The sequence below is a fragment of the Homo sapiens genome, chromosome 18 (genome assembly GCF_000001405.40).
Source record: "Homo sapiens chromosome 18, GRCh38.p14 Primary Assembly".
Lineage (NCBI taxonomy): Eukaryota > Metazoa > Chordata > Mammalia > Primates > Hominidae > Homo > Homo sapiens.
The window spans coordinates 55496880-55511352 of NC_000018.10; the positions used below are offsets into that span (position 1 = coordinate 55496880).

At 38.4% G+C, this 14473-nt stretch overlaps 1 protein-coding gene across 34 annotated transcripts in view, besides 3 other annotated features; it reads right to left on the reverse strand.

Annotated features, from left to right (window-relative positions):
* The window catches only part of TCF4 (transcription factor 4), a 413773-nt gene that overhangs the window by 274695 nt on the left and 124605 nt on the right, over positions 1-14473 (reverse strand). For 2 of the 34 annotated variants that reach the window (NM_001243231.2, NM_001348211.2), the window contains exon 1: positions 13700-13893. The exons of the other annotated variants lie outside the window; for them this stretch is intronic. In NM_001243231.2, coding sequence (NP_001230160.1) covers positions 13700-13718 — 19 coding nt within the window. In that variant the 5' untranslated portion in view covers positions 13719-13893. Of the gene's footprint in view, positions 1-13699; positions 13894-14473 lie in introns of those variants that run through there. 34 annotated transcript variants of the gene reach the window in all.
* Positions 12669-13187: an enhancer, noted in NCBI's record as "NANOG-H3K27ac hESC enhancer chr18:53176779-53177297 (GRCh37/hg19 assembly coordinates)". NCBI's record gives its function as "activates a minimal SCP1, AML or CMV promoter by ChIP-STARR-seq in primed H9 embryonic stem cells {active_cell/tissue: H9 hESC(primed)}" and the evidence as "EXISTENCE:reporter gene assay evidence [ECO:0000049][PMID:30033119]".
* Positions 12669-13199: a biological region, named in NCBI's record as "NANOG-H3K27ac hESC enhancer GRCh37_chr18:53176779-53177297".
* Positions 13150-13199: an enhancer, noted in NCBI's record as "active region_13359". NCBI's record gives its function as "activates an Ori minimal core promoter by ATAC-STARR-seq in GM12878 lymphoblastoid cells {active_cell/tissue: GM12878}" and the evidence as "EXISTENCE:reporter gene assay evidence [ECO:0000049][PMID:35858748]".

Consider the following 14473-nt stretch of genomic DNA (forward strand, 5'->3'; position numbering starts at 1 on the left):
AAGAGCTGTAAAATTACAAAAAAAAAAAAAAAAAAAGTTTAAAGCCACAAGAGAATATATGGAGGATACCATTTCCAAGTTTAAATTTAAAGAAAGACCAAAAATGGCATCCTGATACTCGTAAGGCAAAAAAACATCGTTCTTTCTAAAGGTTCAACCATATTTCCACTGGGAGCAAATCAGCCGAGCAGGTGTGTTAGTGATGAAGGAAACCCTTATTCTATTATAAATATCTTCAATAATCAGCAAACATGATGAACAAATTTTTTAAACACATATAGGTTAAAGAACAAGTTTGTCAAAGGTTCCCAGAATTTTGTTTGATTTTTGTTTGTGTACCTAGTTTCTGAATCCTAAATTAGGCACTTCTATTTCAGTACATATTCCAATTTAACAAAAACATTTATTTTATAAACAGAAAAGGAAATGAGCTTGAATAAGATATATTTATGCAATTACCATATCTAATAGTCAATTACATGTCCTTATATGAACAGATAAATAATATATGCACATACATTTATCAATCTTGTCTATGAGGGAAAGAGAGAAGAAATTAAAAGAAGAGCAAACTATTATATACGGCATGCAGTTTTCATTATTTCATATTTGCATAAGGGGATACAATATTTGTCTTCAATAAGGCTACAAATTACAAATGATTAGTTCAGATCTTTTTAAACCAAACTAAAATATACAAGTTATTAAGTATATCATTCAACCTAGCAGTTATATTTGTTATAACTATTTACCTTATTTTCCTTATTTTATAAATTAAAAGCAGGAGGAATGTTTGAGTTCATGTAAAGCTATTAAAACATTAATTATTTAAAGATCAAGTTAAATGTTTTAAAAACAGAAGACCTCACAATATCCAGCGGGGGGAAAATTATGAGAAGTGAATGAGAGAACAGAAATCAGATCAGATGTACTGTACTTTAAAGTATCCATTAACTAAAGCTACATGAAATTGGAAGGGGAAAAAAAAACCTCTGACATCCACATGAATACCAAATTAATTCATTATGATCAGTGCTACTACAATGAACACAAAATTAATTCATCACAGTGGAATACACAAAGCACTACCCACTTGTTATACCTACTGACAAAAAATAATAGGACGATTATCCTCCACCAGGGTGACACACGTGGCCATGGGCACTGCCAGCTTGTCAGTCACACAAGTGTTTCCTTCCCTGGGAGTCTACACCAAGATATTTTTACAAGGAGGCTCTTTATCAACCACATTAAATGAAGCATAAGATGTGAAGACCTAAATTACCAATGGTTTTCCCTCCTGCTGTTGCTCCCTGCCAGGGCTGGGTCCGGGGTTAAGCAAGTACAGCACCTGGGGGCAATATTTAAGGGGGTGCTCACACACTCAGACTTCTGCAAGCGATGGCCCTCGCCTTACACAACCCTGACAGTGAGTCCCACAGCCCTACACATGGTAAGCCTAGACTTTAAAGCATAATCACCTCCCTTATTCAGGGGCCCAGGGTTTCTGCCATACCAGAGTAGACCAGCCAGTCCTAACACCTGCCAGTGTCATGACCATGGTCAGCTGTCTTCTCTAAGGCAAGCGCTCTGGATGTCAGTTTCTTGAGAAAGCCTTATGTAAACTTACGAGCGTGAGACCAACCATCAGGGTTCTGGGGTCTACCACAAGACTTCGCCATAAGATACGGAAAAATCAAGATGACTTCGTGAATCCCCCCTTTTTACCTCCTCTGAGTCTCTAGTGAAGAGAAATGGCTGCTGACTTTTGTTTCCCACGCCATCAGAGATACAAGGACCTGGCACCTGAACCTCAGGGGCTCCGTCTACTTCCACTTCTAGCACCAATGGCTTAGTGTTGTAAGAGTGTCTTTGCTCAGTAACTTCAAGGGGACTTAGCAGGTGGAAAGTCACACGTAAGACAGGAGAGAAACCTTTCCTAGAGAGGATGAGTTTCTCCTTGGTAATGAGAATGTGATGTAATGTATCTTCTTCCTTTTATTTGTAAGTACCCCTTAAAATACCCCTTAAATCCCTGTGGGCAGTTAGGAAGTAGAGTTTTCATGTACCATCCAGAATACAAGATTACACTTATGGAAATCTTTCCTCTTTCCCTTGACATGGTGAAAGTTTTTGTTTTTTAGATCTTCAACGATGGGTTCATCTCAGACCCTTTTCCAGAACAGGTCCAAGAAATGCAAATGTTAGCCAATGTAATGAAAGGCACCCATTTAATATCACAACTTGCTAAAGAAGAAACTTGTTTACTCAGAATTTTTCTTGGAGTATACAGGGACTCAAAAGATGGATGCTCCTTCCTTTGCTAAACTGCAATTTTGTTCTTCATCCTTATTACTTAGCCTTTGTGGGGTGCTCATGCTATACCAACACATCTGCACATCACAGATGTGATACTCAGGTAGGAAGAAACAGGAATCTGATACAACGTGAGAGCCTAGCATTCTACTCCCACCTGAGAACAGGGTACCAATAAATGTGAAAGCCTTAGTAGAGGCAATACGTTTAAGCTCTGTGTGTGTGGCTAGGGAGGCACAGTAACAGAGGAGTTTTAGCACAGGGTAAAGCATATTCTAAAAGAAAACTAGACTTTTTCAGCTAAACCTAGCTCCATCTGTTTATGTAGGACAGAAGTACTCTAACTTGACTGTACATTAGAATCAACTGGGGAGGTTTTAACTACTCCCCCCACCAACAATTTAATTGGGGGTGGGGTCAAACATCAGTATTTATTCTCCAAGCTCCCCAAGTGATTCTAATTTGCAGCCAGGTCTGCAAACCACTGATATCCAGGCCAGATGGCCATATATCCTGTACCTGGGGAAAGAGCATTTTTACTGTGAGGGGACACAAATCAGTGAATAGTTTCCAAGCCCGGCTGGCTATCTGAATCCTACTGGGAGCTTTTATTAAAATACGGACTACCAGGCCTTGCCTCTAGACCTACTGAATGGGAAGCCCAAAAAAATGAGGTTCAGCAATGTCTGCATATTTTAAAAACATGGCCAGGCACAGTGGCTCACGCCTGTAATCCCAGCACTTTGGGAGGCTGAGGCAGGCGGATCACACAAGGTCAGGAGTTTGAGACCAGCCTGGCCAACATGGTGAAACCCCATCTCTACTAAAAATACAAAAATTAGCCAGGCATGGTGGTATACGCCTGTAATCCCAGCTACTCGGAGGCTGAGGCAGGAGAATTGCTTGAACCTGGGAGGCTGAGGCTACAGTGAGCCAAGATTGTGCCATTGCACTCCAGCCTGGGCGACAGAGGGAGACTTTGTCTCCAAAAAAAAAAATCTTCAAATACATTTTGATTGTCATCTGGGGTTAGGACCACCGACCTGGATGAAAGTCAGAAGCTCTTACCCCTAACTCGATTGCCAACAGAATGTTTCATGTTTAGACGAGTAATCTTAGCCTGCAAAGAATTAGGAATAGCAGGGGAAAGGAGTGGAGGAGGGGAGAAGTATTTAAGAAAAAAATAAAGAGAAAAGAAATTTAAGTGTCCTCTAAGCACCCACAAGTCTGCTTCTTAAAGTGCTGATAATGAGCAGTGTGTGCTGAAAAGACCAATGGAACTAAATTCTGAACCAGTTCATTTCGGCACATCCTGTTTATACGACTATTTAATGAGTCATTCAGCCAGGATGATTTTCTGTCTGAATATGTTAATTGCCATTTTTTTCATAGCTCTCTATTAAACAGTACAGATAAAATAGGCATGCTCATGTTTTTAAGCGCTATCAGCCTCTCACCCTCAAGAGAGTGGGCAACAGGAGTAAATAAGGGAAAACTTTCTCTTTTTTCAAAGTGTTTAATTCTTTTAACATATATTGGCATTTGGGACCCCACTTCAATTCAAAAGCATATGTTAGAGTTAGCATTAAAGTGAAAATGAAATGAGGTGGTTCTCCCCCATATGCCACTGGCTTCATTATATCACAAAGAATGAGCTCAAATAACAGGGCAGCAATGTGAACCTTCTTGCTGATAAATTCTCCTACGTTTAGGTCAGTATGGATATTTGGGGAAAGACAAGTGATAAAGAAACAGAAAAATTCTGACTCACTCTGATATTCCTTTATAAATCAATGTATAATGATGATGATTATTACTGAGAACCCTGGAAGATCTAGGAAATGGGTGAAAGGTCTAGTTAATGTTTAATGAGTGATTAAAAGAATTCATTTTTATATTTCATTTATCCCTAGAGGATGCAGAATTTAGAAATGTAAATTCCAAAACAACATCAATGCAAAAAGTGAAGCAATAAACATCAGTGCAAAAAAGCCATATTTTCATGCACATTATCACTTAATAAATCAAGCCACTCTTAGTATTCATTTTAGCATTTATGCAGTTTCCAGTGCCTTAATTTTAAAGAATTTACATTAAACAAATTACATATGATTATACTGCATTCGGAAGGGAAAAAAAAACCACAACCAACCTTAAGGCCATAACAATATATTTTATTTTTAACGGCTTTGTTTACAAATATTAAATGGTCAAATCAATAGTGTTCTCAATGGCTTTTTGACATCTCAAATTTTTCATAAATGAAAATAAAGCAACTGAAAAGATGAAACTCTAGTGGCAAAGGTTTATTGGTCTTTGTACCTCATTAAAAGGACTTTTATAAATCACGTTTGTTCTTTTGAGTAGCAACTAACACGGCTGAAAAGGACAGGTTGGGTTTTAAAAGAGACAGATATGACCTAAAGGGAACACATTTTACTGTAGTGAAATAAACTGAGGAAACAGTTAGCAGATTAAAAACCCCTTGAAAGGAAGCATCATCTTTGGGAGAAAAAAAAAAAACCTTCGCTGAAGAAAACAGCTGGAAACAGGAAGCTTTTGGGCTTTCATCCTGCCTGCTTTGATTCCACCGCATCCCCATATCATGAAAAGGCAAAGAGACTGATTTCAGCTGTGTCTTCTTTCAACAGAAGAGGGAAAAGGCTTTGTGGAGTGTGAGCAACCCCATCCAGAAGACCCCCGCCCACCCTAATCATACAAACACTAACAATGAAGTGGAGAAAGAGAAATGGTGATAGATAAGTAGCAACTCAGAAGTAACATTTTACAGGCTGTAACAATGGAAGGAGAATATTTGTTCTAAATTAATTGTTTCTCTCAGCAATTCTCATATGAATTTGCAATCCCCTAAGTGAAAAACACTAACCAAGGTAGATATACTAACTATGACAGGTTTTCTCTCTCTTTTATGCCTTTCTAACCTGGAATTTCCAGGAATGCATGACGATGAAAAGTTTCTATTTCTGATATCCACCACATTGTTGTGGTCATTTTTCTTCATTACAGAGAAAAGGAGTAGGTGTTACAACCCCTTATGGTCTGAAATCTAAAGTCACTGAATTCTGGTTTTCACTAAATTTAGATATCTAAAGTCACTCTATTTAGAGATCCAAAGACCAATAAACCTTTGCTCACTGCAGTTTCATATGAGAGGTCCTTTTGGTCATCTCATCTAGATTGTTCCTCACTGCTACCTTGAAAATATTTGTATTCTCATGACATTTAAAGGACAATGCAGCATAGTAAAGGAAAACTTGGATGAGAAGCTTACATCATCCTTGGTAACTACATAACAAAGCAGCTCAATAAACAAGATCATACAAATCTAATACACCCAAGTCACAATTTATTCTTCTGTTGCTATTTTGGGATGCCTTTTAAAGTGGGGATTACAAAGCTAGACAATATAGGGGCACATAAGTGTAAAACTCTGACTTTGAAACTGCAACCGATGTCAATATAAAATTACTATTTTATTGAGGTATCTCTCATGCTCTTCACAAAGGAGAACTGATTTTCACACAAGTTAAGGAAAGGAACTTATATTCAAGTTACATACAAGTTAAGGAATTAGCTAATTCATTTTTCTAAAACTATTCTTAATAGACAGGAAAATTTCACAGCATAAGAGGTTTCAAGCAGGATATGTAAAATGAATATTAACTTCATCTTAATCGACGACTTAAAGTAGGTATCCTGAGATATTCAACCTTACAGTGGAATACTTTGATTCCATGGTAACACTTCAATTTCTAAAATATCTACAGTTGACACTTGGTATGTGCCACCTCCTTACCAATGGATATGAATTACTTTTGATTTATCCTTATTCATTCTAAATGTCTCTTTTTGGAACTGCCTTAGTTACTAGTGCAACATTAGTATAACTTTGAGAATCCTCATGCAAGGTTATTTTAACAGGATACACCGCTAAAATAAAAGTGATCCTCACCAACAAAACAAAATAATTTAGTTATTTGTGTCAAACTTTGAAGGTCTATAGAAACAATGCAGTGGATATCAGAAATAAAAACATTCTATCATCATGCATTCCTGAAAATTCGAAGTTAGAAAGCCGAAAATTCGAAGTTAGAAAGCCATAAATTCAGTCTAGATTCTCCATATTTTGGGCATCATCAATTTCATCATCATCATCATCATCATCACTAGCCATCTTCTACACTTATGAACAGAATTTTCACATATTATTTCATTCATTCTCAAAAGCAACCTAAGAGGAAGGCCAAACAGGCATACTCCTCCTCATAGAATAGATGAATAAACTGAGCCCAAGAGGGTAAACAGAGATTCTACTGACAGCATCCAGATCTCTGACAGAAGTCCTTGTGTTATCCACGAATAAGTACCTAACTCTGACTCATAACTTCCAACAATACCTAGAAAAATAACCAGCTCAAGAACCGCAATTTTCAGGTCAAAGTACAGAATTTTTGTTATTCCTAACACATTCTTGGGGAACTCCGTTTCTTTAGGCAATATGGCCCTGTAGACTTAACAACATACAGGAGGGAGCAGAGATTGGCACAGTCAACTTTTCTTTGAAATCTATTCTAATGGCCGGGCACTGTGGCTCATACCTGTAATCCCAGCACTTTGGGAGGCCGAGGTGGACGGATCACTTGAGGCCAGGAATTCGAGACCAGCCTGGCCAACGTGATGAAACTCCATCTCTACTAAAAATATAAAAATTAGCCAGGTGTGGTGGCACATGCCTGTAGTCCCGCTACTGAGGAGGCTGAGGCACAAGAATCGCTTGAACCCAGGAGGCAGAAGTTGCAGTGAGACCGATCCACCTCACTCCAGCCTGGGCAACAGACTCTGTCTCAAAAAACAAACAAAAAAAGGAATCTATTCTAATTGCCCTAATGTACTCCTATCTCTGCTGCTCTCATATGTATTCGTTCTGCAACACTTACTGATCATCTATCAGGTAGCAAGGACATTGTCAACAATATAAGTCTGAATCCATAAATGCTGCTCCCATGAACTCTACAAAAAGATAAGAAACGTATACATGGGAGAAAAGAGAACTCACATCTGTTGAGCATCTATGAAGACTAAACCATTTCCCAGCTCCTTCCTTGAATGCTCACAACAGTTACATGAAGATGAAAACTGAAGAGTGCTAGTTACCAGTAACTTTTGTGGCACTAGGCTCTCCTATGAAAATTAGAAATCCTACTAATATTTGAGTAAAACTAGCTAAACATTTCAATCACTAAAGTTATCACATGCTAATAAGTATAGACACTGTAATTCTTCAATGCTTTAGAGAAAAATATGATTATACCATTAACAATTTAATCTTTTCCTAGTCATTTTAATCTGCCAAGGCTTTGATTTAGAAACAAAATAGAGGAGGCAAATCACTGTATTGCCGAACATTGGTATCAATACCAAAAATAAACTGAGGCACACATACAAAAACTGACAGAGCTATAACATTCTCGCTCATGCATATTCGCTGCCCCTCTCTGCATCTGCCCCATACACAGTGTGCCCACACTGCCTCTAATTTGTGTTGTCTGTTGGCAAAATGGACTGTAGTACCAACTTTAAAAACCAATCGAAGTATTAAAACAAAACAGACAACCTCTCCCATATTTGGCAGAAAAACCGTAATTCAAATGTTCCAAGCCTCCCCCAAGAACAAGCAATTATAAGGTGCAGAAAGGCAATGGCTTTAAAACAACATGCTAATCCTAATATTAGTACCTTGAAAAAAGGAAAACTGCCAAGATGCTGGAATAGTGCCCAGTTATCCGTCTTACCTACAGCAATAAAACTGTCCTATAAATGTGAACAAGACAGTTAGGATACATTTTGGGGTTAGGTTATTGGCATTTTTTTCCACCTCACCATTCCCTAGGAGAATAAGCCTGACCTATGGAAGCAAAACACAGCAGATGGTAACTCAGCCCAGTACCAAGAGTACTTAGTCAATCCAAATAATTCACACAAAACTGAAGCAAGATGTTCAATGATTTATGGCGCTAATTTCACAAGAAAATTATGGAATCCTTCTCTTCAATAGAGCCACCTTTTTATTGTCATATGCTGGATAGCTAACTAAAGTGTCTAAAAAGCAATATATTATTATATTACTATCAACAATACATAATAATGACATAATCATTAATAACATAATAATTATTATAGCTAACACTTATGCTGGGTACTCATGTAAGTAATTTACAAGAAATAACTTATTTAGTCCTCAGTATGATTCTATGAAATAACTACCGCCACTGTACAGATAAGAAAACTGAGAAAAAATAGCAACCGGGCCGGGCGCGGTGGCTCACGCCTGTAATCCCAGCACTTTGGAAGGCCGAGGCGGGCGGATCACGAGGTCAGGAGATCGAGACCATCCCGGCTAAAACGGTGAAACCCCGTCTCTACTAAAAATACAAAAAATTAGCCGGGCGTAGTGGCGGGCGCCTGTAGTCCCAGCTACTTGGGGGGCTGAGGCAGGAGAATGGCGTGAACCCGGGAGGCGGAGCTTGCAGTGAGCCGAGATCCCGCCACTGCACTCCAGCCTGGGCCACAGAGCGAGACTCCGTCTCAAAAAAAAAAAAAAAAAAAAGCAACCAGAACAAATAACTATGACATGGAGAACCAACCTTCAAATCTGGGAAACATACACCCAGTCCATGTGCCTAACTAATCCAACAGTATAGGAGTGGGTTTAATCTAAAGATTACTGCAAAAATGAAAAATAAAATGTATTTGCAGGAAATAACACTAGACCTGGATTCAGCTGACCTGACTTGTTCACTGTGAAACCTCAACAGAGACACCTCTTTGAGAAATGGTTTCTTCATCTCTGAAATGGAGTGAATTCAAAGCTGGAAAGCTTGTGCTTCCAGTTTTAAAGATCAGATTCTAAGGATAAAGCCTAAATCTGAGTTTTGCTTAAAGACCAGAACACTTTTTATCATTGTTCTAGATCAAGAAATACTGATGACCTGCAGTGGAAATCAAACAGCAGCAGTTTCTCTCTGGTTCAATGATCCTCATCCCACGTGATTCTATCATAAAACTGTACTTCCTCTCTTTGCAGAGAGGATTAGGCTACTTACTAATAAGTGTAACTCCAATAAACCTAGGAGGACCTGAGGCTGCTACTTCCCAGTTCCCAAGTCAAGTCAGGCTTTTGATAATATATTTTATTTATACACACACATATATTCAGATGGAATCATCCAATCAGCTTCCTGATTCTAAAACTGCATTTTCTTTCTACAAAATGAACCCAAATGTCCAAAGGAAAACCATCAGCTAGGATAATACACACACATTAAAATGTCCACATGCAACACACACACACACACATATACATACCCCACACACAAAAATATTTCCACAAGCAAGCATGCATTCATTTATTTAAACATAATCACAGTACTCACTCTAAGAGAGGGATAGGTTTTAAGATCTCCAGCAGATGCCTGAAACCTCAGATAGCACAAAATTCTATATACGCTATGATTTTTCCTATGCATATATACCTATGATAAAGTTAGTTCATAAATCAGGCACAGTGAGAGACTGACAACAATAACTAAGAGTAACATAGAACAATTATAATATACTGCAACCTCAGCATATGATCTTTCTTTTTTTTTTCTTTTTTTTTTTTTGAGATGGAGGCTTGCTCTGTCACTGAGGCTGGAGTGCAGTGGCACAATCTTGGCTCACTGCAACCTCCGCCTCTCAGACTCAAGCAATTCTCCTGCCTCAGCCTCCCAAGTAGCTGGGATTACAGGCGTCCACCACCACGTCTGGCTAATTTTTGTATTTTTAGTAGAGATGGGGTTTCACCATGTTGGCCAGGCTGGTCTCGATCTCTTGACCTCAGGTGATCCGCCCGCCTTGGCCTCCCAAAGTGCTGGGATTACAGGCATGAGCCACCAGGCCTGGCCTTTTCTTAAGTGGGGAACTTTGCCCTTGTAACTTATAGGATGCACTTCATGGCTTTCTTTTGGCATATCTGAATTGCCAGATTCACTACTTTTGTGCTTTGGGGCCATAGTTAAGTCAAAAAAGGGTGACTAGAACCTGAGCACTGCCATAGTAACAGTCAATCTGAAAACCTAGAGGTGACTTATAGGCAGGGAGTGTCTGGAGTGTGAATCTGCTGGACAAAGTAAGGATTCATGTCCCGGATGAGATGGCAAAGGACAGTGCAGATTTCATCAAATGGCGAGCAATTTAGAACTTAGGAGTTATTTCTGGAATTTTCCATTTAATATTTTTGGACCACAGCTGATGGACAGTAACTAAAACTAGAGAAAATGAAACTACAGATAAGGGGGGCGGGGGGACTACTGTATTCTAATTATCTTTTTTGCCTACCTAGGGGTTCCATATTTTGATGCAGTTTAGTTGGATATCAGGCAACTACACATGGGTAGACAAAGAAATGAACACCTTTGCACCTGAACAGCAACAGCTAAGGGGACACACACAGAGGGAACCACTGAATTCTAACCTTGGCTGAAACTTAATTGGGTGTGGATTGGGGAGAAGATTTCTGGGTGTATTGTGTGTGCTGGGAGTAATCTATCAAGTATTGATTGGGTTCAAGTGTTGGTGCTGAGGAGTTACCCTCAGCTTCTCCATTCCCCTAAAAATTCTCTAGGCTGAAATAGCCTTTCTAGGCATTCACTCAAGTAAGGTGGAGAAACTGACCCATGTAACCGGGAAATGACTACAACCAGGAGGAGACACTGAGGCTAATGTGTTGCCTATAAAGTCTCATCCTCAAGTTGATGCTATCCAAGAACAAATAACAGAACCAGTGCGGGACAGGGAGGCTTCCTGACCAGAGGACCAGCAGCAGTGGAAAAAGGCAGCCGGGGAAATGTACCCCCAACACACACAATATACCCCAAAACTTTCTCCCACCCCCCACCAACAAAATGCCTCTGGCAAATAACACCTTATTATTTGATATGTGCAACTGCAAACTCATTTAAAGTAAAACTAGAAGCACCTTTAGAAAACTTTGCTGCTTTAAATTGATCTATAACCTACTCCAGGTCTACCCGCCCTTTCTTTTAACCAGGCTGCCATTCCTAAATTTTCCTCCGTTATAGCAATTCTACCACCACCACTTCTGAAAATGGGTTTTGAATGTTAATATTTTGTTGGATTTTCAAATGTAATGATTATTTCTAACAAGAACTGAGAAACTGCTCCATTATATTTCTCCTCTCTAAATTTGATCATGCTAATAGCTTAAAAATACTCACTGAGCAGTTACTATGGGCTGAACACTGTTCTCAATGTTAGATGCATTCACTCATTTAATTCCCATAGCCCAATGAAGCAGGGACTTGTATTATCCTCATTTTACAGAGAAATTAAATAACTGTGTTGCCCCAGGTTACAGGTAGTAAGTGGTCGAGCTGAGATTTAGAGCCAGAATCCATGCTTTCCAGCCCACCCTTCCCAGCTCACACTTGCTCTTTAATTATAAAATACCAGAAATCGGCACAGTAAACATTGTTGCTGTGCACCTCCTTTTATTCCTAGGAACACTTAATAACAAACTGCAAATAACAAAACCGCAATACACGCTAAATGCTACAAGGTTTCATTTCACCATCCCTGCAAGAAATTTGCTTACTTTTAGAAATTATGTGCTGACTTTAAAAAATCCAAACAAAATGTAAATCGTATTTTTATTAACTGTTAAACAGATTATCTGAAACATTAGAGTAAATCTCCTCTCAAAAATCATAGCAAGACTCCTGTATGTTATTAAATCTCTTTACATTTTAAACAGGAAAAATACTCCATTTCTGAGTCTAAGTTCCTAGCCCTTCAATAATCCACACTAAAAATCAGATTAATTGGAATTTAAATATATCTGTGTGTGTCTTATTTCTGTAAGTCCTTAAGGAACATTATTGTCCACTGTTATCCCCAAGTCTTGCGGACTTCGTAAAGGAGTACTAGACACAGGGCAGGTTTTTAAACCATTATATAAAAAAAAACTTTGATATAATCTAAGTTATTCTCTTCTCTGGTAAAACTGTAGCTACCTAAAAGCAAGTAGGTACAGCAACATAAAACACTCACACAGACAGACACACACACACACACACACAAACACTCAAACACCACCACCACATACTCAGTTAAGATGCTGGTAGTATCGCTACTTGTTTTTTCAGCTTTAATTCACTGTGTTGAAAACTACTCAGAAAATATTTGATGTCTCTCTTGACAGTACAGCATGTAGAGGCAGCCCCCAGAATTATAAACCAAATTGCGTTTAAAAAAGAATGGACTGTTGAAAGAATGATCCCCACTAAAAATACAGTTTAAAGGCAACTAAGGTCATCAAGAGTAAAATGGCTAGTGGCTTAATGTGACATCCAAAATGATTCCCCCAAATCTCATCCCCTTTATACTAAAACAATAGAGGGTTGCCTCTAATAAGTTAATATCATTCCTCAAAATCTTTATTGAGAAGCACCTTTAGACCCTCAAATCTGCCTCCCAGAGGAATTCCATCAATCCAGACATTACTGAAGTTCTGAGCCAAAAATAAAGGGAAAGGGGCGGGGGGAAATCACAGGAAGTTAAACTGTTAGGACTGCAGCCAGGGAAATTCCTTTGATAATCAAGCCCTACCTTCACCCTGAAGCGTAGCTTTCAAGAGTTGAAATAATAACTTTCTTTGGAATTCTTCATCCATGAAAATGCCTGGGAAAATGATCTAAAGCAATAATCCTAAGAAATAACCAAGAGAAATGAAAGCAAAACCAAAGATTTTTAACACTGGTCTTCCATTTTCTGACACTGCTTTTCATGTTTGTCTCCTTCAAGTTTCTACTAAACCAAGGCCAAGTCTCCCCCTGATGTTCTATGCAGCACCACTTACTGAGTAAGACTGACAGTAACCACATTTTCTGACTCAAGGTTAAAGGTGCACATTCATAAAGTAAAACTCCAGATATAGCGCTCAGTCTGCCCCTTAGACTGACTGAGTCACAGCAGAGGATCCAGAATGGTTTCCATTCCTCTATTTCTCCGTCTAAAGAGTCATGACATTTTCAGGCATTTTGGTAGAGATAGCAAAAAAAAGTTAGAGCTTAAAAAAGCAGAAATGTTTATAATATTCCACATTACTTTCTCATTTATATGTGTCCAACCTGACAGAAATTTGAAACCAAAATCCTGAACCATGCATTTCAACCTAGAAGCCTTTGTAAAAACCCCAGTCAAATATGTCCAGCAATTCAAACTTCTAAGGATACAGAAGTCGATAGATCAAACATTTTAATCAAGAGTAAGCTTTTAAAATACAAGTTACATAAATATTTACCTCTGCTGTCCTCTTCCATATGAATAGGAAGTAATAAATTCCCCCAATATATCTGGTGATTAAAATTCTAAAATACTACTTCGTAAACTTTTAAAGTTTGTGAACTGAGACCTCCACTTTAAAAGGCCTTTCTTTTAAGGGGCCTTCCTTGTTACTCTCCTGTGCTCCATGGAAACAGAACATGAGTTAATGATGACCGTAGATTTTAATTTATTTGTATATATCAGTCAGTAGAAGGGGAAATGATACTGGCTGTGTGTTTATGAGCTACATTAGAAATTTGAACAATAGCAGACCTTTTCTGAAACAAAAATAAAATATGAATCAACAAGATCTCTGCCAAACAGAGGTCTCAGGACAGCCTTGTTCAGTCTTCTGGGAATCCCACTGCAATAAGCACAATAAAAGCAGGACGTGCCTCATTTCCTTCAACCGTTCAACATGCCTCTCTTGGAGATGTTTGTAAATTTCCTTCCTTTACGCATCAAGCTGGCAAACTGTCGTCATTTCTTTGGGGTAATAATATCCTGTTGATGTCTGAGTAGGTCTGTTTTGATTGTTTCTTCCACATAACACATATACTTTTAATATCATTTTCAACACACAATACACGGAATTATTTTTCAACATACTCGAACACAGTTCAGCAAAGTATAACCGGAAGCAATGAAGGGCAGAATATGTTAATAAAATCCTAGTTTTATTTTTGGATTTGCAACTTAGATGTAGGTAATAGAGTAATTCCAAAAGTTTAAAAAAAAAAAAAAAAAAAGC